This window comes from Homo sapiens, chromosome 4 (genome assembly GCF_000001405.40).
Source record: "Homo sapiens chromosome 4, GRCh38.p14 Primary Assembly".
Lineage (NCBI taxonomy): Eukaryota > Metazoa > Chordata > Mammalia > Primates > Hominidae > Homo > Homo sapiens.
Genome location: NC_000004.12, coordinates 20,281,741 through 20,309,568, shown reverse-complemented (window position 1 = coordinate 20,309,568; position 27,828 = coordinate 20,281,741). Strand labels below are relative to the sequence as shown.

The 27,828-nt window shown below is 36.5% G+C and overlaps 1 protein-coding gene across 7 annotated transcripts in view, besides 1 other annotated feature; it reads right to left on the bottom strand.

The window, feature by feature from the left end:
- Positions 1-27,828, bottom strand: part of SLIT2 (slit guidance ligand 2) — a 368,657-nt gene that overhangs the window by 310,993 nt on the left and 29,836 nt on the right. The window lies entirely within an intron of this gene.
- Positions 26,030-26,647: an enhancer, noted in NCBI's record as "NANOG hESC enhancer chr4:20284545-20285162 (GRCh37/hg19 assembly coordinates)". NCBI's record gives its function as "activates a minimal SCP1, AML or CMV promoter by ChIP-STARR-seq in naive and primed H9 embryonic stem cells {active_cell/tissue: H9 hESC(naive and primed)}" and the evidence as "EXISTENCE:reporter gene assay evidence [ECO:0000049][PMID:30033119]".

Genomic DNA, 27,828 nt, shown 5'->3' with positions numbered 1-27,828 from the left:
GAGGATTTTATTTGTTGCTTCTTTTTTATTTTTATTTTTTGAGGACAGAAGAATTTTAAGCATATTTGAAGACAGAGGAAAAGCTCTAATAAAAAGTTGTAAGTTAAAAAAATAAGAGAAATGAAAATAATTGGTGAAAAGGGATGCTATAAAAGAAGAAAAGAGAGTGGATAAAGAAAAAAAAAGATCTGTTAAAAGCAGAAAGAGGTTTCACTGCTTTATTCTAAAACTAAAAGTAAAAATCTGAGCCTCTAGAGGATTTTAGTGCAAAGAATGCTATAATTGGTGTTCTTATTTAAAAACTTTCAATATTCAATAAAGTTGTTTGTGAAATACATAAAAATAACTTTATTGCAATAAGAATATTACTCTTTTAATTTAAGAATATCTAGAATATAACTTTTGGCAAACGTTATTTCAACAACAGGAACAGTATCATTGTTAAATTGACCATATCTAAAACCCAAGGAAACTGGTTTACAAACAAGGAGAATCATATCATTTATAATTTTGAATTAATTATGATAATAATGATGAATCTGATGACAGAATCCTAAAATACCTTAGGAATGGCATAAAATTAAACTTATTCTCGAAACCTCCAAAATAAGACTCAATGAAGAATGACATAGTCTTTTTCATACAAGTAAGTATAAGAAAATGAAAAGCATGTGAACTTTCCATGTCCTTTTAGCATCAGAATGTCACTAAATTAGAATAAAGGTAAATATATGTTTGTTTGTATGTACATATGTACAACTAGAAACTTGACATTACTTCATATATTGATATATTTAAAATAGGATCTTTGAAACAGCATTGCTTTACCAACATTTTTATAAGTATACCCATATGTACAAAAATTAAGGGTATATATAAGCCTCTGTTTACTAAATACCTACCTTCTATTAAGTATTCCATTCCTTCTCTAATCCCACCAAGAGTCTTTGAAGTAGCTAATATCCCCATTTTACAGAGGCAGTGACTGATACTCAAAGCAACTGGATTACTTTTCAAGGTCATGTAGCTGAAAAGTGTCAAGAGCTGAGATTCAAAGCTTCATGTATTTGACTTCAAAGCTCATGCTTTCTATACCACGTTGTTTCCCCTCCTATATTTTCTGTCTGACCTTACCACTGCAGTATAAATCACTTCTCTGATATCTAATCTATATACTATAAACCTCTGTTGTCATGTGATTTAATACATCAGGTTACCTATTGGCACTTTGGAGCACTCCAGAGATTCCATAATGAGGTGATGGCATTTTCCACTCGTTTTACCATGTACACAAATTCCCAGCCAATGAGCTGATCAAGTGAGCTATGACATCCCGTTTCTGAATGGTAGACTCCTTCCTTGGCCTTTCTAGCATCTCTACCTGGTGAACTGCTAATCCCTCAAGGCCCCATCACTTCCCAAGTCCAAGCTACACCTCTCCATGAAGCGTGTCTCTTGCCAGGCACAGGTAATGGTCCCTGGCCTGGTAGCCATAGGACATTTTTAAAGCACTTATCACTAAAAATCATAATAATTAATCTCCTCCTTGCTGGCATGTGAGTCTTTCAAAGACAGTAGAGTATTTTATTCAATGTAGAATCAGCAGTTCCTAAAGCAATGTGTAGCACCAAATAGATAATAGCTGCTGTGTTGTGAAAACGACATGGGCTTTGGAGGTGGTCAGGGGACAGGCAGTGGGTCTCAAATCCCAGTTCTGCCTCACACTATCCATGTGAGCTTGGGCAAGTTACTGCCTGTGAGATTCATGTCCTTAAATGCATGGACATAATATTACCTATTTTAAACAGTTGCTAATAGGATTTTAAAAGAACAGATGCAAAGAATTAGAGTCCCTGGTATACACTTAAGCACTTACTAAATACTAGTTTCCTGTCCTTTCACCCCATTGTCTTGAATGTCTTAATGCAGCATAGGTAAGATTCAAAAAGAGTAACTGCATATATAGATTGAACAAGTATTAATCAAATGTCTAACAAGAATAAGAAACTGGCTGAACCCAGTGGCTCATGCCTATAATCCCAATACTTTAGCAGGCCAAGGAGGGACTTGAAGTCAGGAGTTTGAGACAAGCCTGGACTGCAAAGTGAGATCCTGCCTCTATGAAAAAAAATTAAGAATTTATCCGAGTGTGGTGGTGTGCTCCTGCAGTGTCAGCCACGTGGGAGGCTGAGGCAGGAGGATGGCTTGAGTCCAGGAATTCAAGGCAGCAGTGAGCTATGATGGCGCCACTGCACTCCTGCCTGGGTGACAAGGAGACCCTTAGTTTAAGGAAGGAAGGAAGGAAGGAAGGAAGGAAGGAAGGAAGGAAGGAAGGAAAAGAAATAGAGGGGGTGGAGAGAGGGAGTCAGGGAAAGAAGGAAGGAAGGAAGGAAGGAAGGAAGGAAGGAGGGAGGGAGGGAGGGAGGGAGGGAGGAAGGGAGGGAAGGGAAGGGAGGGAGGGAGGGAAAGAAATAGAGCGGGTGGAGGGATGGAGGCATGGAATGAAGGAAGGAAGGAAGGAAGGTAGGTAAAAAGGAAGGGAATGGAGGAAAGAAACTGTAGTAGATGCTGTGTATATCAGAGAAATGAATTTCTGCACTCAAGAAGTTGACAATCCTATAAGAAAAATACAAATTTTATTTATATATATTTTTTTAAGATAGAAAATTAAGTACTATAATTAAGTGCATGGATACTGCTATGGAGAATGCAAGCAAGGATTCAGCTTTCTTTGGTTGGGGAAATACCAGAAGTGGTCACCAATAATCTGGAATCTGAAATAAGTTTTGAAGAACTGATTATAACTTGGAGTCATGGATATACAAGAAAGGAAATCCTAAGTAAAAGTACAGTCCAGGCAAAGGCACAGAGGCAAGATTTCTCCATGAATAAAAACTGGTTTGTTTTGACTTGATAAAACAAAACAAAACAAAAAAAGCACACGAAAATGCAGTGGGATAAGGATCTCAAATCGCGGGAAATAAATCTATTGAAAAATTAATACTCAATGGATTACCTGGCTTGTAATTCTCAAGCTTCCTAATTTGAGTCCCTCTACCCTACATTTTAGGATTTTCAAGCCAAATTATACAAAAGAAGAAAAGAGAATTAAAATATAAATTGCTATATATTATGCATAGGGGCACATTCTACATACTGATGTTGGGAAAGGAGCATAAGCTACTTTTCTAAATGGACAGGTTTCATTTGATATTAATATTGACCACAGGTGACTATCCCTAGCTTGCAGGATCATGAAAACAGGAAACGTAATGATCAAAAGATAGTCTTGTGTATTTAAAAATAAAACTAAAACATTTCTTCAGAGATGCCAGCATCCTTCTCCACTGACCAGTCCCCTTTCTCCCCGTGTTCCATACTCAAAATGTTCTACTGCCCCCTGCTGCTTTCAGTTTCAGAATTTTTCTTAAAGGCTTTCATTATCTTTCACTAACCAATTTTACCACTTTACCTGTTTTCTCCCTTTTCTTCCAGAAGGATCAAGATTCTAGGGTTTCTTTCTTGACCAAATTGGAAGCAATGAAGATGTAAGAATTATGCATAACTTCATAGGAGTAACTTACAGCTTTGAAAATCTAACATACACTTAACGCTAACCTATGTGGGCACCATAACTTCTTTAGGATTATTATTATTATTATTATTATTATTATTATTATTATTATTATTATTATTTTGAGACAGTCTCACTCTGTCACCCAGGCCAGAGTGCAGTGGCATTATCTCGGCTCACTGCAACCTCTGCCTCCCAGGTTCAAGCAATTCTCCTGCCTCGGCCTCCCAAGTAGCTGGGATTACAGTTGAGCGCCACCATGCCCGGCTAATTTTTGTATTTTTAGTGGAGATGGGGTTTCACCATGTTGGTCAGGCTGGTCTCGAACTCCTGATCTCAAGTGATCTGCCCACCTCGGCCTCCCAAAATGCTGGGATTATAGGCATGAGCCACCATGCCCGGTCAGGATTGCTTAATTACACATTTTTACAAGGAAGTAATAACTAATCTCCAAATACATCATTTGCCTTTCATTCTAATGGTAACCCACATTTTCTTACCCAAGTATACAAGCTGTGTGTTTGAATAGGGGGTTCCCATACATGGTGTTTTATATAAATTAGCTTAAATTTAATAGAAAGAATGTCTGACTTATGTTACAGAAATTTGTTCATTAATTTCAGTTTTTTCACAGGTGACATAGACCTTAATTTTTCCCACGTGTTGTGATCTAGCCGTCTCCATTTCATCAAACATTTATTTTCTGTTCTTTTTTTGGTGTATATATGTCTGTGTGGGGTGTGTGTGTATTTACACCTCCTGTTACCATTCTGTATGTTGGGTCACAGGGGTACATGATAACCAAAAGCAAAAATAAAAAGCAGAGCCACATGGAGAGTTACCAGTTTAGCAGCAGCTAAATGGCATAGCATCATGAGCATGGCTTGCTTTCAATATTACATTCAGCAAACATTTTCGAATACCTATTTGCCAAAATGCAGTAAAAATATAGATTCATTCTTCGAAGAATTCACAGTCTAGTGTACTAGCAACAAAACTACTTATCTTGTACTTTGAGCTAAGATAAATGAAGGTATCACAATCCACCAAGTAATTAACCTGCATATATTAAAACCATTCTCCATTCATTTTGAAGTTATACTTTGCTATGTTAACAGACTACCCTAAAGTGTAGCAACTTAAAACAACAACCACCAATCACGCTCTCTTAAAATTCTGTGGTGTGAGTGGGCAGTTTTTGCGTTTTGTATGGTATGGTGGGGGTGAGGGGATGGTTGGAAGTTACAAAATGGCCTGAGCGCTGGGACTGGCTGGGAGCACAGATGGGAATGTAAGCTCTGCATCTCCATTTTCCTTCATGTGCATCTCTTTGTATCACTTCTCGGGCTTCCTAACAGCAAGGCAGCTGTTCCAAGATGGTGCACTCTAACCACAAGTATTCCAAGCAAGAAGACCATCTCTAACATGTAAGCATTTGTCAAGCCTCTGCTTGCATCTCACTTGCTAATGTCTCATTGGCCAACGCTTGTCACATGGCCAAGCTCAGATTCAAGGAAAGGCACTACACAAGGGCATGAAAATTGAGAGGTGTGTTTCACTGGAGTCAAAGTAATAGTCTATTACAACTCCTCTCCTTCCTTCACAACCATGTATCTTTGAGTTCTGCAAATACACTCTGTATTACCTATTTCCACTGCCTTATAGTCCAATTTTTAGTTCTCTCTTACCTTATTTTTTCCTTCCTTTCTTTCGTTTTCTTTTCTTTTAAAAAAGTTATCTAGTTGAGCTTTTAATTAAGAGTAGGGGGATAAGTAGCATCATTCATCCAATGAACAAATGTGTATTGAGTAGTTTACAATAATATACACTGGTAGGAACTTTTTGTGACACAAGAGATACTGCAGAAAACACCTCCTCTGCTATCATAGCTAAAACTCTGCAGGAGAAAATCACATAAGCCTCTAGGCCCTCAAACCCACCCTCAAAATGGTAATTATGTTTCTATTTTACAGATTTCAACATGTCTCAACATTGCTTAAATATTTTCCATGCTGTTCCCAGCCTAGCAGGTGTGATTCAAACTCAGTTATCACCTCATGTAGTGTGGCATAGACCAGCCTTCCAAGGTTCATCTCCTATCATTTCCCTTGAACTTACCACCTACTCACCTTTGTAGTTCTATGTCTTTATTTTTGCCATTCCATCTAGCTGGAATATTCTTCCTCAGTCCTAAGCTCCCAGTGCATATAATTTTATTTAAGAACCACATTCACGTACACTCTGCTATGAGGCACCCACATAGACAGAAAGAAGAAACCACATACATATGTCTACACAGACGGTGATCCTACCTCTGACTTAAGCCTGATGCTGTGTCACTGTTGTTTGTTTATCCATTCAGTGGAGCGTGGGCTCCTCAAGACCACCATGCTCATGGCCACACCACAAGGCATTTTCTATTAACACAGAGGTTGGTACAAAGGAGGAAAAGAAAGAAAGAGAGGAAGAGGCATCTGTCTTTCATTTCTATGAAATGTACTGTCTTTCATATATGATCTTCAAAATAAAAAAAAAAAGTAACTGTAATTCCATATTAGCTTTAAGACCTCAGAGCTTCTCTAAAATGAAATGTGTTCTAATGATAAATGGAAGCTAATAAATAAATTCCTCCTCAATGAAAACAATAAAACAAGTAAAATATAAATATAAAGAGCCACTGCACTTTGTTTCAGTCTTTGTTTCAAAGCCTTGTATCTGCAAAGTGCCTGGCTTGTAAGGGTACTGAGAGTGGCTCTCTAAATCCAGCCAGCCACAGGAAATCTTGAATTAAATTCTACTCTTTTACAAACAGAATCCAAAGAGTGAACCTGTATTAAAGTAAGTCTTGCACAGTATAAAACTAACATTTTCCATGTAACACTACTTGAACTTTGAGGTCATCACAGATATAGATAATAAAGGTTTCAAAAGTATATTATTTGAATTAATAATAAAATATGTCTTAAACTTTAAGTGTAATGTAGACAATGGGATAAGATTTAATGTAGATAATGGGATAAGATTTAATGTAGATAATGGGATAAGATTTCATCAGTGAATGGATTTTAACGAAGTCATAAAAGTGAAGACAGAAGGTAAATTTATATCATGAAAGTTCCACGTCATATACAATCAGATACAAACAACTGTGTAATTCACTAAACCACTGAGTTCAAGGTAATAGATTTGATTGGATGATAAACGTTTGCTTTAGAATTGCACCAAGGCCTTCTAGAATCAAGCCCCATTTAACATTCCAATGCATCCTCCAATCGATTACTCTCCTCTCTTGGTCACTGGATTGCACAGTCATTTCCTCTGGTGGATGTTACACCCTCTCCTTAACCTCCCTCCTTAAATATATCCCCCTTTTTCATGACACACCTCAAGTGCCATCTCCTCCCACAGTCCTCATGAACGCTTTATCTCAAAGTGAATGCTCTAGCCTCTGACATCATGCAGCCATTTCAATTTCAATACTCTGAAGGCTGGTCACTGCTTTCTAGATGTGTCCTTCCATCCCCCCCATAGACATTATGATTTATTTAACTTGTCCCTCCCCCATTGCCTGGCATGTAGCAGACACTGGATAACTGATGGAATAAATGATGACACAAGATGAAGTTTCCATCACATCTTTTAATTTGAATAGCCATTTGTTTAAATGGCTTTATTTTCATGAACACTAGAGAAAGACTGAAATCTATATCAGATATCTTAAGTTTAAGCCAATTCTTCACTTATAATAGGCAAAGAAAATAAAATATTTTAAATTGAAAGAAATACAAATTCCATGATATAAAAGAATAGATTCGAACATGAGTGAAAGCACAACTCTGAAATGTGTCATGTGTTTCTGCCCCTTTGGCAAAATGATGAAAAGCAAAAAAATTAATCTTCGTTTCTCTAGTTCTATTTTTGTCACTTATTAGATACATACTCTTTCTGTAAAATTAGGTCAATAAGATCTCTTTTTCTTAATTTCACAGATTACTATTAAGAAATGCATAGGAAAACCCAGTCCTTATAAACTACAAGGCAAGGCTTGATTATTACTGAGCCAAAAAATCGACAGTATATTTTTGCACCAAAAAATGATTGAGCCTGATGAACATTTAGCCCGATCACTGTCTAGCATAGTTAGGGAGAATTTTCCTTCGAGAAATAAAATATTCATCATTTCTAATTATAAATGGTACTGTTGTCAAGACAACTTTTCTCAGGAGAGAGAGGATTATTCTAAAATGGTTCTCTTTAACATTTTTTAATCTCAATTTTATTTACAAATGAAAATACATCCTCCTCTACTAATATCTCATTAGTCTAAAGACTTGTCAATTTAAAAGAAATGTTACTTGGGAAAGCTTTCAATAGCATTTTCTTCCTTAGCTCTTCTAGTGAATTGGAATTCATGACATGATAATTTAACTACATAGCTCTTCAATTAAAAGTAGGGAGTCTGAAACTAATACTGCATAAGTGGCAGGTACAATAGAGTTAGTATGCCCCGTTAATGCCTGGCCATTGGTGCAAAATGACATTCAGAATGGCATGAAGAACAAAAGGGTAATTGGGTATAACAAGAATCTAACGTTAGCAAACATAGGTCTATTTGGCCATTCTTACAAGCATGATTCACTGCAGCATTGCAAAAAAGAGACATTCTCATACAGAAAGTTTCAAATAGCCAGTAACATGCTTATCTCTTTAAGATAAAAATAAAGATGTATCCCAAATAGCCAGCATTTTGAATTATAAAAATGTAGTGTTATCATTGTTCATAAATTTAAAATTTAAAATTTTCTAATTTTTAAAGCTCTTCAATATCTTATTTGATTTCCCTATCAACCATATGAACAAAGCAAATAATTAGCATCTCATTGAATATATGAGAAAACAGGTAGATACACTGTTCAAGAGAGCATAGCCTTTAAAGAGTTGCTCATTCATTCATTCATTTATCCAACTTGCATGAAGTCTTTAGCATAAGGCAAAATCTGTACTATATGTTAAGGTAACACAAAGGCTAATGAGATTACTTTTTAAAATTAGAAAACGATGTATACCATATCCATTTTTTTTTCAAAATCAAACCAAAAATTCATTAAATGCTATTGCATTTTAGGCTCCTGATAGCATAATCATACTCAAACGAAGCTCTAGCAGAAACAAAGTTAAGTTTTTTAAAAAATAGGAAGAGTTCCATAAAAGCCTAGTGCTTGATTTTAGCAACAGAGATTTATTGCTCTTGAAATTTAAAATAGGTAATCTATGGTAGTTATTTAACACACAATATAATTTATCACATAATATATGTCCATTATCATGTTAGTGAATATACAGGAAATAAAAACAAAGAGGATGTCTATATTTGTGTGTGTGTGTGTGTGCATGTCTGCACGTGTCTACATGTGCGAGACAACTAAAATGCACTCATCATATATTATATCTTAGGATATATAGATACGTAGCTAACTAGGGAATTAAGGCTTACAAAGTGATAAATGCACAGAAATTATAAAATTTTATATATTCTAAACTATGAAAACAAATGAATGTTCTTGCACATATAATTCCATGTTCCTTGTCAAGATAAATGTATCACATTGAATGTTTTTGTAATCTTAGAATGTCTTTTGATAAGATATACCCTATATAATTCAAATAAATAAAACCATTCCACTTTCTTTACTGAGAACAAAACACAGAACCAAACAATTATGGGAATTCAATACCATCCTAAATGATTCATTGTGGTAGACCTTGAACTTAGTTTAGGATCTTTACTTTTTTTAAAGTAAGGTATGTGGTTTTAAAAAAGTCATATAATAGAGTCATGTGATTTTAATTATTTTATAAATTTGATTTGCTTAAAAATCTGAGAAGAGATGGTCCCATGTTTATTAATCTAACCATAAAATATTATACTAAAGAATTTTTATGAGCATTAAAATGTTCCATATATTCTACATTGATCTTTATTGTGAAAAGGTTATATTTATAAGATTAACTTTACCTTGAATGATGATATCATACATTTTAAAATAATGACCCTATTTCAGTTTCCTAGGCATTATCTCAATAGATTAATAATTTCAATATTAATGACTGAAAGGTAATTAATATAAAATACTGTATTATTTTTAGCAAAGAGTATCTGTTACGGAGCCCTATGGACAGCCAAGGCTAAAGAAAGTATTTTGGCCGTGACAAATGGACAACTGCAATAATGCCAGGAAATCTCAATAGAATATGGAATTGGCTCCCCCTGTCGGGCCTTAAAAAGTCCACATTTTTGACCATCACATCACCTCACATCACAAAACTAAAAAAAAAAAACAAAAAAAGGCAAAATGAACAATGCCAACAAAATTAAAGACCTGTAACACTGCCAATGCTGCATTTAAAAATCTGCTCAGCTATATTTTTCTCTATAGAAAAAGAAATCATGAAAATCAGCATATGGAAAAGAAAGTAGGAACTCATTTTCAATTTATTGAAATAGATAAAATATTCAAATGAGGTATATAATATCACAAATAGCATTGATTTCTTTCCTCGTTGACAAAACACATGTCCTCCTTTGAACGAACTGTACAAGAAAGTATAATAGCTATTTCTTCACTAAAAACATGGTTTGTGATAAAGTTCCAGTAACAAAATTTGTTTTGATCCTTGTTGATATATAAATATATTAGAAATAATGTTTTTTAAAAGTCTGTATATTCTTACTGATAAAGCAATACAGTGCTTTATATCTCTTTAAAAAATAGCTATGTTATAAATCACCCACTGGGTGGATTGTCTTTGGCTTGAATACAACTGGTGTGGCAAGAGCAAAGAAAATCATACAGGCCCTGCTTGCTTATATATATAAAATATTGGGGAAAACATATTGTAAAAAGTCATACAGTCTGAGATAAATGTCAAATTACATTGTCAAATTGCATTTTTGCAATATACAAAAACATATTGCAAAAATTAATGACAGATAAATGTCAAATTACAACTATGAATAATGGTAATTTTTCATTTATTAAAAATAATGCAATAAATTACAATCCCCAATTTCCAAACAAAGAGCTTACTATCAACCTCTCTGATATTGCCTCAGCTCAGCAAAGGCTCTGCCACCATCACTATGAGAGCTACTGTGAAAAACTATAAAGTTTTTATTGAAATAAGACATTGTGAAGGGGAAAACAAAGAAATAAATTAAAAGTCACAACTAAGCAACAAGACTTTCTTAAACCTCCAGCAACATATCAAGATGTTTCTGTCATATCCTCATTGTGTTTCTTGGGCTTAGTAAATCATTTTAACTGTACCATTTAGAACACTGAGGTTAATAAGCTTTATCAACAAGTCCAGAGCAATAAAGGGGCCAAAATGCCCCAACCTACAGGAATCCCTTGAAGGAGATTGTTTTTCCTTTAAAGAGCAGGTTATATAGTAAACTCTGGGTCCTGCTGTTCCCACAGGTCCACAAGAGAACTCTGGTGACTTTTGAATAAGAGGCACAAAAGAAAAGGACAAATATCAAAATTAGTGCCTTCTGGAAATTCCTATAAGACCATTTCCTTTCCATAAAATTAACAGAAAATAGGGCCGGGTGCAGTGGCTCACGTCTGTAATCCCAGCATTTTGGGAGGCCAAGGCAGGCAGATCACCTGAGGTCGGGAGTTCAAGACCAGCCTGACCAACAAGGAGAAACCCCGTCTCTACTAAAAATACAAAAATTAGCCGGGCATGGTGGCACATGCCTGTAATCCCAGCTACTCAGGAGGCTGAGGCAGGAGAATGGCTTGAATCCGGGAGGTGGAGGTTGCAGTGAGCCGAGATTACGCCATTGCACTCCAGCCCGGGCAGCAAGAGGGAAATTCTGTCTCAAAAAGGAAAAAAAAAAAAAAAACTAACAGAAGATACCGATTACTATGCTCTTTTCTGCACATATGCCTTTAGGATCCAGTACTCAAGCAAACATTGGTACTGTCTCTTAGATACATATGGATTAAATAGGCTGTGTGCACTGGCCTGGGAACTGAACCAATATTTACAACATTGTTTCTATGGGAAAACATGTTCCAAGTACTAAATAACTTGCAAACCTTTGAAATACACTGGTATTAAAACTTTTATGAGATACATTATGAAGACAGGGTATCCGTTACAGATAACTCAGAGTTAATTCATGTGTTGATCTCCTCTTTTTACCTCCTATTTGTTTTTCCTCATGGTCTAGAAAAGGAAGGAAAATGCCATGATTTACACAAATATATCATTTTTGCTCACAAAAACCCATGAGATTTTTTTTAAAATTAGCAATAAGAATACATATTGCATCTCTTAACAACTTAAATTTCACCACAGTCACCCTACCCTATTTCAGTTAGCCTATTTATTAGATTGACATTTTTGCCTGGGGAATCAAAAAATTACGATTTTCCAGATTTTGCTGGTTAGAAAACACAGATTTTACTGTACTTGGTTTCTCATTTATCTGGAATGACTTTTCATCTGCTGGCGAATAGCTCATTCAAAACATCCAAGTTCTTAGCATTCAAGTGGAAGGGGGGAAAACCCTCAGAATATTTTTCCTCTAGACTCTGAGGCAATCATTAGAACATCTTAAAAATATGAAATGGTTACAAAAAGAAGACTTGCTTCCACATTTTAAAATTCAGGAAAACAAAGTTTCACATCAGGCAAATCCATTAATTTTGAATTTATTAGTAAACATACGAACTATTTCTTAAAGAATCACAGTTGATGACAGCATTCATCCAATTTTATTAACTATTTTAAAATATTTTATTAAAGCAGGCTATTATAAAGATTTTTCAAAAAAGAAATGAGTACCAAGAAGTACAGTAAGAAATGCATACGAATTAAGGAAACTATTTGTAAGGAAGCAAGGAAAAGAAAGTCTGGGTTCAAAACGGGAAAAAATGGCACTTTGAAAATCAAGATATATTAACTGTAAAGCATGTTCAAGGACAAGCTCAAGAGCTTCCGATTGCGCATAACATAATGTGTGTGTGCATGCTGACCTGTCAGCCTTTGCATTAGCAGAGAAGAAAGGGCAATTTCACACTGGCACTAGTAAGTCATAAACAGAACATTTGAAGTTAGAAATGCTATCCTCTTTCATTCACTTTTAGATGGTTTCAATTTATTTGATGAAATCTGCACTTGCTTTTCTTTTCGGGGGATACATTCAGTTAAACGCATTAAAGAAAAGTTCCCATTTGTTCTTTTCACAGATATTCCATCACACTGAGTCAGGGTGGTGCGGCAGTGTAAAAGAAAGTGCCACATTTAGTCAACTAAGGCACAATACTGTTTACATCCATGACGCCAAGCATTTAATAAAAATTGGAAGGTGGTTACTTCCTGAGGCTTATGTAGTATCTATAGTCCAACATCACAGAATGGAATATAAGGCCACAGTGGGGTTGTTTACCTGTCAATCACTTGTCAGTCCTACAGGTTCTCTACAAATACCCCTTGTACTTGGAAACTTCTTTACCAATTGCTGTAATTAGAATTTTTAAATACAGCAATAGACACATTTTCTAAAACTACTAAATTAAATCACCAACAGACACAAAAGGAAAGGTAATGCCATGGTAACTTTTGTGTAACTGAAAAATTACATTTTTAAAACTTTTTTTTCTAGTTCAGATCATTGCTTTATTTTTTATTTCATTCTCTTTGCTTAATGCCATATTCTGCTCTCCTCATTTTTCAACATTTGAAATTACTGTAAGTATGTGGGAAAATAAAATAAGCAGTAAGTTAACTAATATGTCTCTGTTTACACAGATAGAATAGGAACTGTTTAATCAGTTTATTCTCATAAGCATAACAAAAGGAGAAATTAATTTGTCTAGCTTGTTAGTCTTTCTAGAATATCTACAGTATGTAAAAGGCTGGTAGACAACACATGATAGAAAACTTGTCTGAACATACTTCTGACTCCCAGACATTTTCTTGGATTGAATATACTTCATATATGGCACTGGCCATCATACAGATAAAGTGCAAATATCTCCTTTAGAGCACTGTGGCAAAGAACATGTTAATTTGAGCATGTGATGCTAGTAACACTTTATTTAATAATATCTGTCCTTCCATTTTTCCTTTCTTATTTTTTTTTCCTAGTACTCAAGAGAAATGAAGGCTGCAATTATAGATTCCCTTACAATTATGCCTTTTCGGCAGAGCATCAATTTTAAATTTTTTAAATAAATAAATCATTGTGCACAGCAAAAATCTTTCAATATATTTCCTTGAAATCCTGAAAATACTATGAGTTTGCTTTGTTTTATTTCACTTTATCAGGATGAATAACTTCTCAGGAAGCCCAAGTACCTTTCCAGGGGCATGACGCAGGGACTGGATTAATTGGCAATGAAGGAGTTGGTTTGGATTGACTTACTACTAAGAGAGCTGACGGTCATCTGCCCTTCACTTGAGCAGCTATCTTAGCAGTAACTTCACTGCCCAAACCTGAGTGAAGATTTCCCCCAAAAGTCATGACCAAATTAGGAGTTGTTAGCATAAGTCGACTTTGTTCAAATTAAAGTTAAATTAGCATCTTTCCACAGGAATGGAATTTGGAAATCATTTTTACCAACAAAGGTTTTCAAATTAAAATCATTGTACTCACAGTGTATCAGAAAGGGGCCCCGGAAAACTTTCAAGAGTAGGGGCCTCTTTATCATCCTTGCTTTAAGCAAAGAAATTCCAGTTAATCTATTTTATAAGTAATTATTTTGTATCAGATTCACTATTAAAATGAATTCAGTGGCAGAAAGGTTAAAATTATAAATGTTTAAGGCAAGGTTCTTTTGCAATCTTCCCAACAGTGAAGTCCTGCCAAATACCTGGCCCCAAACCCTTGACATGAGCCTTGGAAAGGAAAGTCACTTCCAATATCAAATTACTTTCATCTTTTTGAGCTAACTAGTCTTTGATACTTCTTTGAAAGGATAACACCTCAGCTGTTTAAAAATTTTTGATTAAGTAGCACCTTTGTTTTATCTCTTTCTTCTAAATAGTGCAAGTCTCTTCAACTGATTTTCGTGTGATATACCATTCAGACCTTTTAATACCCTCCTTGTTTTTCTTTGACTGCCTTTCAGGTTGCCCATGTTGCTATTATGATGTCACTTCTCAATTTAAAAGATGGCCTGTTTTATGAACCTCAGAAGACATGAATTCCAACCATGGCTATCTACCTTTCATTAACAAGGCTAGTCAATCTTCAGCTTTTTCATCCATAAATTACATCATAGCTGCTTTTACAAATTAATTTTACATGTGTAAATTAAAAGGCCATATATAACTTCTCGTAAAAGTGTCAGACAAACAAAATGTGAATTTCCTTTCCTTCCTCTTAGAGCCAAAACTAAACACAAAACACAACTAAACAAAAAACTTTCTAAGTGTAACCGGAGAATTTATGGGGGAGAAACTGATACTCTGATACTTCAACATTTACTCCAGTGATTTCAGGATATAATCTTCCGTGTATGAAACATGATACACAGTGGAGGCTGAGACCTTTGTATATTTACCTGGCTTTATATAGTGCCCAGCACAACATTTTTATTATGTGGGTGCTTTCTTTTTTTTTTTTTTGAGACAGAGTCTCACTCTGTCATCCAGGATGGAGTGCAGTGGTGTGATCTTGGCTCAGTGCAACCTCTGTCTCTTGGGTTCAAGCAATTCTTGTGCGTCAGACTCATGATGTAGCTGGGATTACAGGCACATGCCACCATGCCCAGCTAATTTTTGCAATTTTAGTAGAGACAGGGTTTCGTCATGTTGGCCAGGCTAGTCTCAAACTCCTAGCCTCAAGTGATCCACCTGCCTCAGCCTCCCAAACTGCTGGGATTACAGGCATGAGCCACCACACCCAGACAATATGTGGGTACTTTCTAAAGACAAAAAACAAACAAACAAAAATGAGAAGCATCATATACAGTTCTGTGAATTTCAGGTAGGTGTCTTTAAATATTGACAAATGCAAACACCATGAAATGGTAGAAAAAAAAAAAAGTAAAAAAGGATTGGTGTCCGTGGACCAGGTAAAGACCAGGCAGCACAGAGTCTTGGGAGGACCTTCACACAGGAAGCCCACATCCCTGAGCCACAGTGAAGGCTCTCTCTCCACGGGCCAGGCAATCTTGGGCAAGTCACATAATATATCTGACACCTGTCTCTTCACCTAAGTTTCTAAGGTAGTTTCCAGCATGGGAGGTGTATTATCCTTCTTATTCTCACAAGAAAAATAAAGGCCACATTAATACATCTATGCCTCTAGTTCTTCAAATAGTAGAAGATGGGAAATGGTTTCAGGAAGAAAGCTAAGAATTGATGCTAAACCCTGAAAAAATAGTAATGCTCTTCCTTTCTTAAGTTCACATTACTACGCGTTAAGAACTTCACTTGATAATCACTAGTACCTCAAACAAAACGCTGAGGGAACCAGCTCTCATTGCTGTTTATTTAGGCTTTGTTAAAAATTTTAGTCTAGTTTCACCCAAACCCACCATACAATATACAACAGCTATTCATTGCAAATATCTTTTTAAATGTCCTTCCTCTTTTCCTAACAGTTTCATCCTGAATTATGACTTTGGACTATGGTATTATTTTTGTAACTGATCTCTAGGCTTCCAGTCTGTTTCTTTCAATTCATAGTCATAATCTTCCCAGGGCATGATCTTAATCACATCACCCCTGCCTATCAAATAAAGTCTGAATGAAGTTCTTAGTCTGGCATCTCAGAGTCTTTAAAACAGCTTGAATGGACTTTCCTTCCTTAACCTAATACTGCAAACTTATGAACTTTTTCCCAGTCAATGAGCACACCTTTTAACCATGTCAACTAAGTCATCCTTTCCATACAGACTTTTTCCCCCCTCTTTCTATACAGACTTTTTTTTCTCCCTCTCATCCCTTTGGAAACTACAGAAATCCACTTAAAGTGAAGTCTCTATTGCCTTCGCAGATACCCCATTCAGAAAGGATTTTTGCTCTACGGTCCTGTGGGACCCACATGTTGCAAAATTACTCAGACCATGGGATGGAGTCATTATCATTGTATCAATACTCAGTCATATAATACATTATCACTGTATCATTACTCAATCATATAATAAATACGGCAGCTTCAAGTAGACCAAAAAATAAAGAAAAAAGAAAAAGCTAGGAAGCTGTCACTCTTCAAAAAACAGACAAATACATTAGCTAATCCCTAACCAAATAATCTTATTTTAACGAGTTTGATATAGAGAAATAATACATGTGTTTTAAAGTAACCATCACATCAGACAGCACATAAACAGCTGTGATTTTATCATTGCTAATAAAAAAGACTTCTAAAGCTCAAAACTAAAAAATTTCCATAAACACTGTCTACCTAGTACTATGTCAGAGTGTTTCTCCTTCTTCTCCTTCTCCGTCTCAGTGCTCCTTCTCCTTCTTCTTCTTTTGAGACAGGTCTCACTATATCACCCAGAAAGCTACTCTCAAACTCCTGTCCTCAAGCGATCCTCTCACCTCAGCCTCCCAAGTAGCTGTAACAAATCTATGAATTAATTAATATTACTTTCATTTTACAAAAGAAAATACTGAAGCTCAGAATGATTATTTTTCCTAAATAGTCACACGTTGAGTAAATGGCTGCAACGATTCTAATCAAGATGTTCAGACACAAAACGTGTCTCTTTTATTAGAAACCTACAATTCATTATTTCTATCCCAGAGGCAGAGCAGACATGAAGAGGTTGTTTTAGATCTACAATTTAGAGAAAGCCAATGAATGGGGAAAAGAGAATTCATCATAAACTACTCATCTGAAAGGAGAATTGGCTAACAAATCTTGAAATTAGTGTATCTGCTTTCCCTAAAATGGACTGCATTGGGATGGATTTGCACCAAACCTGAAGACAAATCTCAGCCATAGTCCAGCCATAGTCTATCCATTCTCCTCTTCAGCACATACGCAGGAACACCTGATACACACAGGATGCACACACATGCACACACACACACACACACACACACACACACACACAGAGGTGTGCAGGAGCTCTAGGATGTTTCTACCCTAAGATCATTTAGTCCCTTCTTCAGCCATCTCAAAATGAGATCAAAAGAAAGCTGCAAATTATTTTTGGAAACTACCATGGCACTCGGCTTAGAGATTAAATCAAAGTTCTCTATAATTGTTTTGATTACATATTACTGCATCAGCAAAATTTTTTGAACATACGCCTTCACCATTTATAAATTACTTCTATTTGTATAGATTAGTATTATTGTACCAATATACGATACATTTTTTAAAATAGAGACATTTCAAAGTTGAGAGAAAATGTGAATAGAACTTAAACAGAAAATTTTTAACATTTTTGTTCCTACATTTAGGACCATGCAATTACACATAGCATTGCTGTAAAAAAAAAAAAAAAAAAAAAAAAAAAAAAATATATATATATATATATATATATATATATATATATATATATATATGAGGTTTCTTAGGAGCAGACATACCATAATGGTCAGAGTGCATGCTGGATTTCAGGCCCCATTCTCCTCCTCCTCAGCCAAATACTCGTATGTAGTGTGCAATCTGCAATCCAGTGATAAGATCACTAAAAAGTAGATTAACTTGGACAATCCTTGAAGAATGTGCATACCACACTGAACGCACTGAATTACAACTATTTACTGAATGCTTTTCCAGGAACGACTTAGATATCTGAGGAACATCACACAAGTGCAAGACATGCATTTATTAATTCATTCATTTGGAAAAGTATCTCTGGTGTCTAATATGCCAGGCATTGTGCTGGGCAATGGGCAAACATATCGAACTAAATTCAGTCTCTACTTTTAAGTTCAGTGGAGAGCCAGATGAAAAAAAAATAGTTGGGTGCTGACCACATTAACAGGATGCTGGGCCACCCCTGGATTGGGAGGGACACCCAATCCAGCCTTGACTGAGTAAAGGCCAGTGAAGATAAATTTTAAGCTTAGCCCTAAAAGAAGGAAATGGGCATAATAATTTAAGCTAGGGACACAGAAGCTGTCCCTGCAGACTTTATGATTTTCTGATATATAGGTTATTACGAAAAATGATACAGAAAAAAATAAGATATTAATACAAATGCTAACCTTTCTTCTGTAAATCATGAGTGTAATCAGAAAAAAAAAAAAAACCATGAAAACAGGCTGACAAAACAGTATTTTTTAGCATTTATTCAACGCATATTTACCAAGCAACCACCATATGCCAGACACTGGCAAAACAATGATGAGTGAAAACCCACCCCTGTTTTCAAGCTCTAGTGAAGAAAGGGTATTCATAAGTAATCACACAAATACACACATATAGTCGTCCCTTGGTATCCATGGGACACTGGTTCCAGGACCCCGTGCTCTAGGCTAATAGGGATTCCAAACTCTAAGAATGCAAAAGTCCCTTACATGGCCTAGTATTTGAATAGAACCTAACACATCCTCTCATAGACTTTAAATTATCTCTAAACTACTTACAGTAACTAATGTAATGTAAATGCTATGCAAATTGTTGTTATACTGTATAGTTTTTGGTTTGTATTTTTTAATGGTTATTTTTCATTTCTTTTTCATTTTTTCAAATATTTTTGATCTGCTGTTGGTTGAATCCACAGATGGGGAACCCACAGACACGAAGGGCTGACTGTATTTAAAAACAGTTGAGGAAAGAATCCTGATGCTGTGGGGATTTATAAAGGGAACATGGTTTAACCTGGGGGATTAGGTAAGGCTTCCCAGAAAACTGTGTTCAAGCTGGAATATGAAGGTTCTCAACAGAGTAAAGCAGGGATATGGGAGAATGGCCAGGTGTAGGGAGGCAACTGGGAGATGAGCAGGTAGAGCAAGCAGTTCCACAGGCTAAAGAATCTGCATGTGCAAAGACCCTGTGGCGGTGTAGAGGGAGGCATATCGTAGGAACTGCATATGCCTGTGCAGCTGGAGCACAGACAGAGACAGCAGAGTGAAGAAAGCAAGATGAAGCTGTAGAGAGGCAGGGTATACAGGCCTCAGAGGCCCACTACGAATGAGGGTTTATATCTTAACTAGAATGTCACAAACTGGGAAAGCCCTCCAACCTCTGTAGGTCACAAAGGGCTCCTCCCTCCTCCCCTCTCTCCCTTTCTTCAGAAAACACTGATTGAGCATCTGCCAGTCTACCTTGTGTGATATACTATTTTGAATACTAAGGATACAACAGTGAACAAAACAAAGTCTCTGTCCTCATGAAGCTCATAGTTTAAAGGAGGCAGATAAAGAGATCTCTAAAATTGCACAAATAGCATCTGCACCATAGGGTTTCTGTGAGAACTCTATGAGATTGTATGAGCATATAATTTATAAAATGTTAAAAAGAAAACACACCTTCATGGGTTTTTTTCTTGGATGAGGTGATAAGGCACCCATGTGGATTCATAATGTAAAAATTTGGAAATAGAAAACTGGAGTCTAGATGAGACAAAATAAAATAAAGACATCCTGACCAAGAAAATAGCAATGGCAACAACAATAGTAACTACTCAAAAAGCAAGCTGGGCTTGCTGGCACTGGGTCATACACAGATTTTTTTTAATAGTCATCTCAAAACTGGAAATGTGAGTTTTATTATCCCTCTATGAGGAAATGAGTCACAAAGAAACCAAATTCTAAGAGGTTCCATTTTATTCACAAAAATTAAAAATGCTGTAACAGAAAACTGATTCAAATTCCTGTGGCAAAAATCAGATGAAATATTAAAATTTAAGTTCTTAATTGGAGAGTACGGACATTGTTGGTTACTTCCCCACATGCATCAGCACCCCCTGCCCCACCTTTCTCTGTCCTATTAGAGTCCTGACCTGATTCACTTACACAACCATGCAAAAGTCTAGAGACGTATCTCAACTAGTTTAAATCAATCAACACATGCCCTTTCTTTGGCAACTTCACCTAAGTTGGTTCAATTCAATTGAAAACAGAGACTTGAAGTCCATCTTGAGGGGAGATATCTCCTATGCTCTCTTTTGCCCTCCCTTCTTCCCTTCTCTCTCTCACTGACTATGAACCAGGAAGCACAAGGCACACTGATGGCTGTTTTGACACCAGGAGCAAAGCCTTTGGACACTGACAGTGAGGCTGGAGAAATGAAGAGGGAGAAAGTAACTAAAAGCTATGGCTTGACCTACCTCTGAACTTCTTGTTTTTGTAAAGTGATGAATTCCCTTATTATTGAAGCCAGATTTGGACAGGTGTCATTTATTTGCAGGTAATCCATTAACCATAGCCGTTCATTTTGTATACTTCAATGTTTTATGTCTTATTGTTAAATTAAAGGGAATACCTTAAAAGTGAAGGGCTTTATCCATAGGCATCCCCAATAAGCTGATTTACTAGAAAAATTATCCTGGGTATAGATCATCACCCAGCACTTCAGGAATTAAAGGGAAATTTCCTCATTGTCATGCACACGTGCAGAGCACATGCACTCAGTAATGTGTCAGTGTTTCTAATAAAAAACATCACAGTGAATATTTATTGAGAATTTACTAAGTGTAAGTGCTTCACTGACCTCACAGACTCATTCGATCTTCACAACAAGCCAATGAGGTAAGGAGCGTCCATCCACAGGTGAGGAACCCAGGCCTACACACCACACTGCTGAAGCCAAGATCGGAATCCCACCCTGTTTGCCCACAAAAACTTGGCTCTGTACCACAGCGTGCTGACTCACACACTGTTTTTTTAAATTCCCAGATAAATTACAATAATATGTTTCCATAATAAACGTGATGGCATACAATAACAGCCATGATTGTTTACCTGGAAATTCTATCGACTTACTAATTTGCACACATAAACACACTCTGTTATGTGCAACTATATAGGCTGTTTAAAAATCAGATACCATGTTACTGAAATTTTGTTTCATTTCAAAAGCAAGTTTTCTGTTTCAATAAAAGAAATTTGACTTGGAGGAAAAGAATGAGAAGTCTTTATAAAACTTAAACATCAATACATAGCTTTTTTTTTAAAGAAAATTGTTTTTAAGAAAAGACCTTATTGAATTTATTTAGCAAGTATTTATCCAGCCTCTCCTATGTGCTTATTAGCCCTATATTAAGTGCTGTGGGAAGCATAAAGATGAAAAATACTTAGAATTTGCCACCAGTAGCTTGAATTCTAGAAGGAGAGAGATAGGGATATACTCACTATATGATCATTTTTACATAAAACTATGGAGACAATGGAGAGATGCTTCTAGGCACAACTGAAGAGTGAATAGGCTCAGATTAAACCCTCCAAACAAGCCTCACAGGAGAAAAACACATTTGAGTTTATCAGGTACAGTCTTTCCATCAACAAAAAAGTTCCAACTAAGGACCAAGACCTAAGGTGATAATGAGATAAATAAATATGAACCCTGTTAGAACATTCCTTTGAGATGTATAAGACATCCTGTTAACAAAAAAGGGGATGGGAGGTGTTGTCAGGCAGTGAAGGAGCAGGAAGAAACACTCCAGGGAAGAGAGATATTCTCTGCTAGACTCTCCACTGTGAGAGGCTTCCTAATGGGGCGCATTGCTTGCCTGTGGCATTGATTTCATAAATGGGGTCACAGCTTCTTGGGTTCAATCAGGTAGGTCAGTAGAGCAGAGAAAGCGGGATCTAGTTCTTGGGCAGTGAATACACGTTTACTGGTGAAGAAGGCAGAAGAAATATCAGAGGCATGTCCATAGGCTCAAGAGTAGCTAGCTTCCTTGAGTCACTCCTGAAGTCCATGGTACAGTGAGAAAACACCAGGAAATAAGAACAATAGCTTGAGACCACTTAGACAACTTGAAGGCCAGTGTAGGAGTTTAGACAACAGCAGCTGGGTAAGTTTACAGGAAAATAATGGTTTTATTATTTACTAGCCCTAGAAAGGTGGGCTAGTAAGTGGGATAACCACTTTAGGCTTCAGTTATTTCATCTATAAAACTGAGATGGTGATACATATTTATCAGAGTACCTTTGAGTGTAATGCGTGGAAAAATGTTTTATTAAATCTAAACTGCTGTGCCTGTATACAAAATGATCTTTGGGCAAGGGACGTGATCTTAGCTATATTTATTTACTTAGAGATGAAGTCTTGCTCTGTTGCCCATGCTGGAGTGCAATGGCACGATCTCAGCTCACTGCAACCTTTGCCTCCCAGGTTCAAGCGATTCTCCCACCTCAGCCTCCCGAGTAGCTGGGACTGCAGGCACACGCTACCACGCCCATCTAATTTTTTGTATTTTTAGTAGAGACAGAGTTTCACCATGTTGGTCAGGCTGGTCTCGAACTCCTGACTTCAGGTGTTCATCCACCTCGGCCTCCCAAAGTGCTGGGATTACGGGCATGAGTCACTGCACCTGGCCTCCTAGCTGTACTTTAGGAGGATACTTCTGGCCATTAGGCAGAGGACTGTATAGATAAAGAAATACAGGAGCAGGAAGTACAGTTAGGAAGCAAATTACTGAGAGGGAAAGGAGAAGACGGATGAACCAACTGTGGAGGTAGAACTGACAGAAGTTGAAAGTGGAGCTAAGGAAGGGAAAAGGAGCCAAGAGTGACATTAAACTTCAAGTTTGGAAAATGATGGGATGAGGGTGGGGGAGAGAGGATAACAAGCTCCCTGTAAGCACCTATGCACAATTAACGATGCATAAAGTGAGGTGAGGATTTAAAAGAGATTACCATGAGGATTACACATTGTATAGTGTTTTTATTTAATTAAAAGACCCTCTTATCCCCAGAACAGTTAATATACATGGTAAAGAACACTGCACTGTATTCAAATGCTAGCCTGCCATGTGGGCATTACATCATCTCTTTGGGTGTCAGTTTTCTCATCCGTAATTTGGTCCTCCTCCATATTATTGAAAAACGAATGAAGCACTATTAATATAAATAAGGCACTTGGAAGAGCCTCTGGATCATGTTCTCATTTTATGAGAGCTACACAACTGACTCCATCCTCAGCATCACCACTTCCTCCAGTCAGAAAATAGTTCTCTTTGTAGAATGAAGACTGTATTAGGAGTAACGCAGGTTGGGCATGGTGGCTCATGCTTGTAATCCCAGCACTTTGGGAGGTTGAAGCAGGTAGATTGCTTGAGCCCAGGAGTTTGAGACCTGCCTGGGCAATATGGTGAAACACCATCTTTACAAGAAATACAAAAATTAGCTGGGCGTGGTGATGTGTGCCTGTAGTTCCAATTACTTGGGAGGTTTAGGAGGGAGGATCACTTGAATCAGGAGGCATAGGTTGCAGTGAGCTGAGATCACACCACTGCACTCCCTGCATAACAGAGCAAGACATCGTCTCAGAAAAAATAAAAATAAAAGAGTAAAGTGCAAAAGTTTCTATGTATTTGCCCTACAGCCTGCCTGCTGCAATACATATGAAGTATCAGTGTCAGTGTGCTTATCTCAGTTTTCTGATAAAGGAGGTGTTCTGATTTGGGGCAAGAAAAATAACAATGAGATCACCTGAGTAGTCTTTACAAGCTACAGGTAAATCAAGATCATAGGCAGAGCACACTTCCTGGATGCAAGCTTTGGTCTTTCCACTAAATGGCCTATCAGGTCAGGCTCAGCAAAGGGTTGTTAATCTTTGTTGCAGATGATGAACTCACCACCTTCCAATGTCATAGGCCTCATCATTGTCTCACTCCCATGATCTCGCCCTCTTATGATACAGTTCTGCATTTCCCAGCTGAGCTGTCATGATTCACAGAGGAGTGTATGGCTGGAGTTGCTAAGATAAGATAATGGCCTTTTATGTGCAGACACTGAATTCTTCTCCACCCCTTGTACAGGGAAGACAATTTAAGTGGAAAGGAATAAATTGCTGGATGTAATACAGTGACCAAACACAAAAGCCTAATAAAAATGTCAGAAGTACATGCCCTAGAATGGCAAAGAATGGTGGAAGCACACTAAATGATGTAAGCTATCCCTTAGAAACCTATGTAAAGACACAAAATGATGAGACTAAACCATCTGCCTCATTTGTTTCCTACTACATTAGCAATTTCAACTTTGTAGTAATTTTGTAGTAATATTGTTTTATTTGCAAATTAAGCAAAACAAAATCTCTCACACACATAAATGGGTAAAAACATTGGGAGAGAACTGACAAATAATATAAAAAGTGTTGTAGGACAGCCCTTTCTTCAGGATTTTGTAAACAGAATTAATATATTACAGTCAAAGCATTGGTACAAAAAGTCACCTATGCATAAGTGCTTAGATATATTGACTGAACAAGTGTACTGATGGCTATTCTTTTTAAACTCAAACACTATCAAGAAAGAACATACGCAAAGATATTAAAAAGATGATGCTTCACATGCTGTCTTTCGCTTATTTACCATGAAGGATGATTCCATGGTTCCTTTGTTCTCCCTACCCTTTTCCTTCAACCTATGAATATTTGAGCACTCAGTGCATGTGAATACTGCTCTGTGGTGAAGGGAGAGGCATATGTATGTCCAAACCCTCACAGAATGTATAACCTATGGAAGGGATTTGGTTAGTAAGCTAATAATGACAATATAAGAATTAGCAGTTTCTATAATACACTAGAGTTAACTAAAGCAGCACATTTTTAAGTCCCCAGGCTAGAGGTTTGTGGATTCATTATGTTAAAAAGTAAGTGAAAACATCTGCATATGGGAAGGTGTCCATCATTTGGTACTGCACAGCAACACAAGGAAAGGGGCCCCATTCTCCAGGCAGGGTGGTGGCATTCTCTGAATGGCAGCAAGTTGCCCACCTAGTAAACACTGGAGCTAGGATTCCAATTCTGGCAGGTTGTTGGAAGGCCCTCATTCACTCACTCAACCTGTATTTCTTGTACATCTACTGTTACTGTCTATGTTCACAACGCTTCCACATTAATTGGAATTGAAAGACAACATAAGCAAAATACACACTGCGATATATACATGGTATGGAAACCAAAGGAGAAGAATAGATCAGGGAAGGGGAATGGGAGGGTTTGGGTATTCTGCTTCTTTAAGAAGAGGGAGCCAAAACTGATTAAGAATAGATCTTTAGGCACAGTAAAAGCTGAAGATTAAATGTGTGTGCAAATATTGGGTATAATTTGAAGTAAATTATTTATATTGTTTATTTAATATCAAGCTTTGAAATAGTTTTGACTGAGTCATACTCTAATTTTATGATTCTGTTTTCATTTGTGTCTTTTCTCTCAATATTAACAATAAATAAAAATTGGTGACCCCAAAGCAACTTACTGGGGGAACTAAGAGATGAGATGGTAATTTTCAGTAATGATTAATATTAAGTGTCCTGGTGAGAAGCATCATTCAGGTGTATTTTTAAAAGTTGCCTTTGGAGATTTATAATCATTTCTTCCATTTGTTTTTTTTCCTGTGTCTAAACCCTCATATCTAAGTTATTTTGTCTTCTAATACTGGAAAGATTGGTCTTGGCAAAAATACTGAACAAATTAGTTTTGCAATGACTTCAAAGTCCACCAATCATCTCCAAATTGTACATAAAATAAAAGCTTTTGGCTCCAACACCCTCTCTATAGAGTGAGAAAGACTCCTGCAAGTTCACACCAGCTTAGATGATGCACCCCTCATTGTGTTGCTAAAGAATGCTGTGCACAGCAGGTGTTCCACAAAGGACTTCTGGTGCTTCAATTGGCTGAGGCAGGGAAGAGAGAGACAGTTAAGCTATAAAATGTTAAAGTCCTTAAAATAGTAGTTGAATGACTTTGTGTGTGTGTGTGTGTGTGTGTGCGCGCGCGCACACAGGCACACAGGCAACACACACATATAAACAAATACCTAAAGCAAATAGTGGTGCTAAGTTAATGAAATTGTTAGAAAATATTCTAAGTTCTTCTATTTCTCAAGGCTACAACAGAATGCCGAGTTCACCTTCAAAGATGGATTGAAAAGAACAGATTTATAAGCCAATGCACTATTAAAAGTCTTACACGTGACAACGCTGGCACAAAAAAAATAATATATGTCAACCCTATATGTCCTAAATGGTCTTTAATAAAATCTCAATCAGAAGTAATAAAAAGTAACTATTCATTGGAAAAGCTAAAAACTGGTTTTGCTCTCTGGATTAACAAGAACAAACAGGAATAGTTAAGAAAGAAGAGAGGCCTCTATAGTTAAATAACTTTGAAAAACAAATTTTAAAAGGTTAAACAGATTTATTTATTGTAGTATGCCTTTAAGATTAACACACAAGTGTACACTGTAGCCACCACAGGTGATATGACTTTCATTATTTCCCAACACATTTGACCACAGAACACTTTTCTCTTGAACCACTGGAGTGCACACTGGAGGTATCACTTCTTTGAAATATAATATAAAATTAGTATAGTAATAAATAAAAGGTATTACATATTCTTGAGAATTGAAGATAAGAACTATACTTTTAAAAACCTAAAACTGAATCATATTATTTTTAAAAAACAACCCAAATGAGTATCTGGTAATAGATATCACACTTATGATTGGGGGTATAATAGTTATTTGGAAATAACAAAACTTTTTATCAAAACATGTTTACCCACACTTGAATAGTGTTCTTCAACCCAGGTGGCTTAATTTAGAAGACAGAGAAATATCTGGACTGTAATGTTGTTGTTTTAAACCACTTTTCTCTTTTTAAATTAGAGACCACTTTTCTCTTTTTAAATTAGAGTATGGCTTCTAAATGGGAAAGGATTAAAGAATAACATTTGTCCATCTGAATAAAAATCAATTATATTTATAGTTCATTATTACCCCTCTGTCACATTTACTTGAAGTTCTTCATCTGATTTTGATGAAGTTTCCCATTTTACGGCAACAGAAAGGTTCTGATGAATCAGAAAAGCACAAAATATAATGTTGGTAACAACAGTTATTCCTGCATGCCATGCTTCCCTGGGAGATTGACAAGAACTAAGGAAAAATTCTTTTCCAACCTCGTTAGACGAAAACTCTTGCTCTGAAATATGATGATGGATATACCTTGTGAATTTTTAACATAATTATTGTAGCTACAAGCGTTATTCTCATTCATACAACTTTGCTTTTTCAAACACATTATTTGCTGCAGTAATTTCCCACATCAACTAAATTCCAAGGGATGGTGTGGTGGGAGGGGAGAGG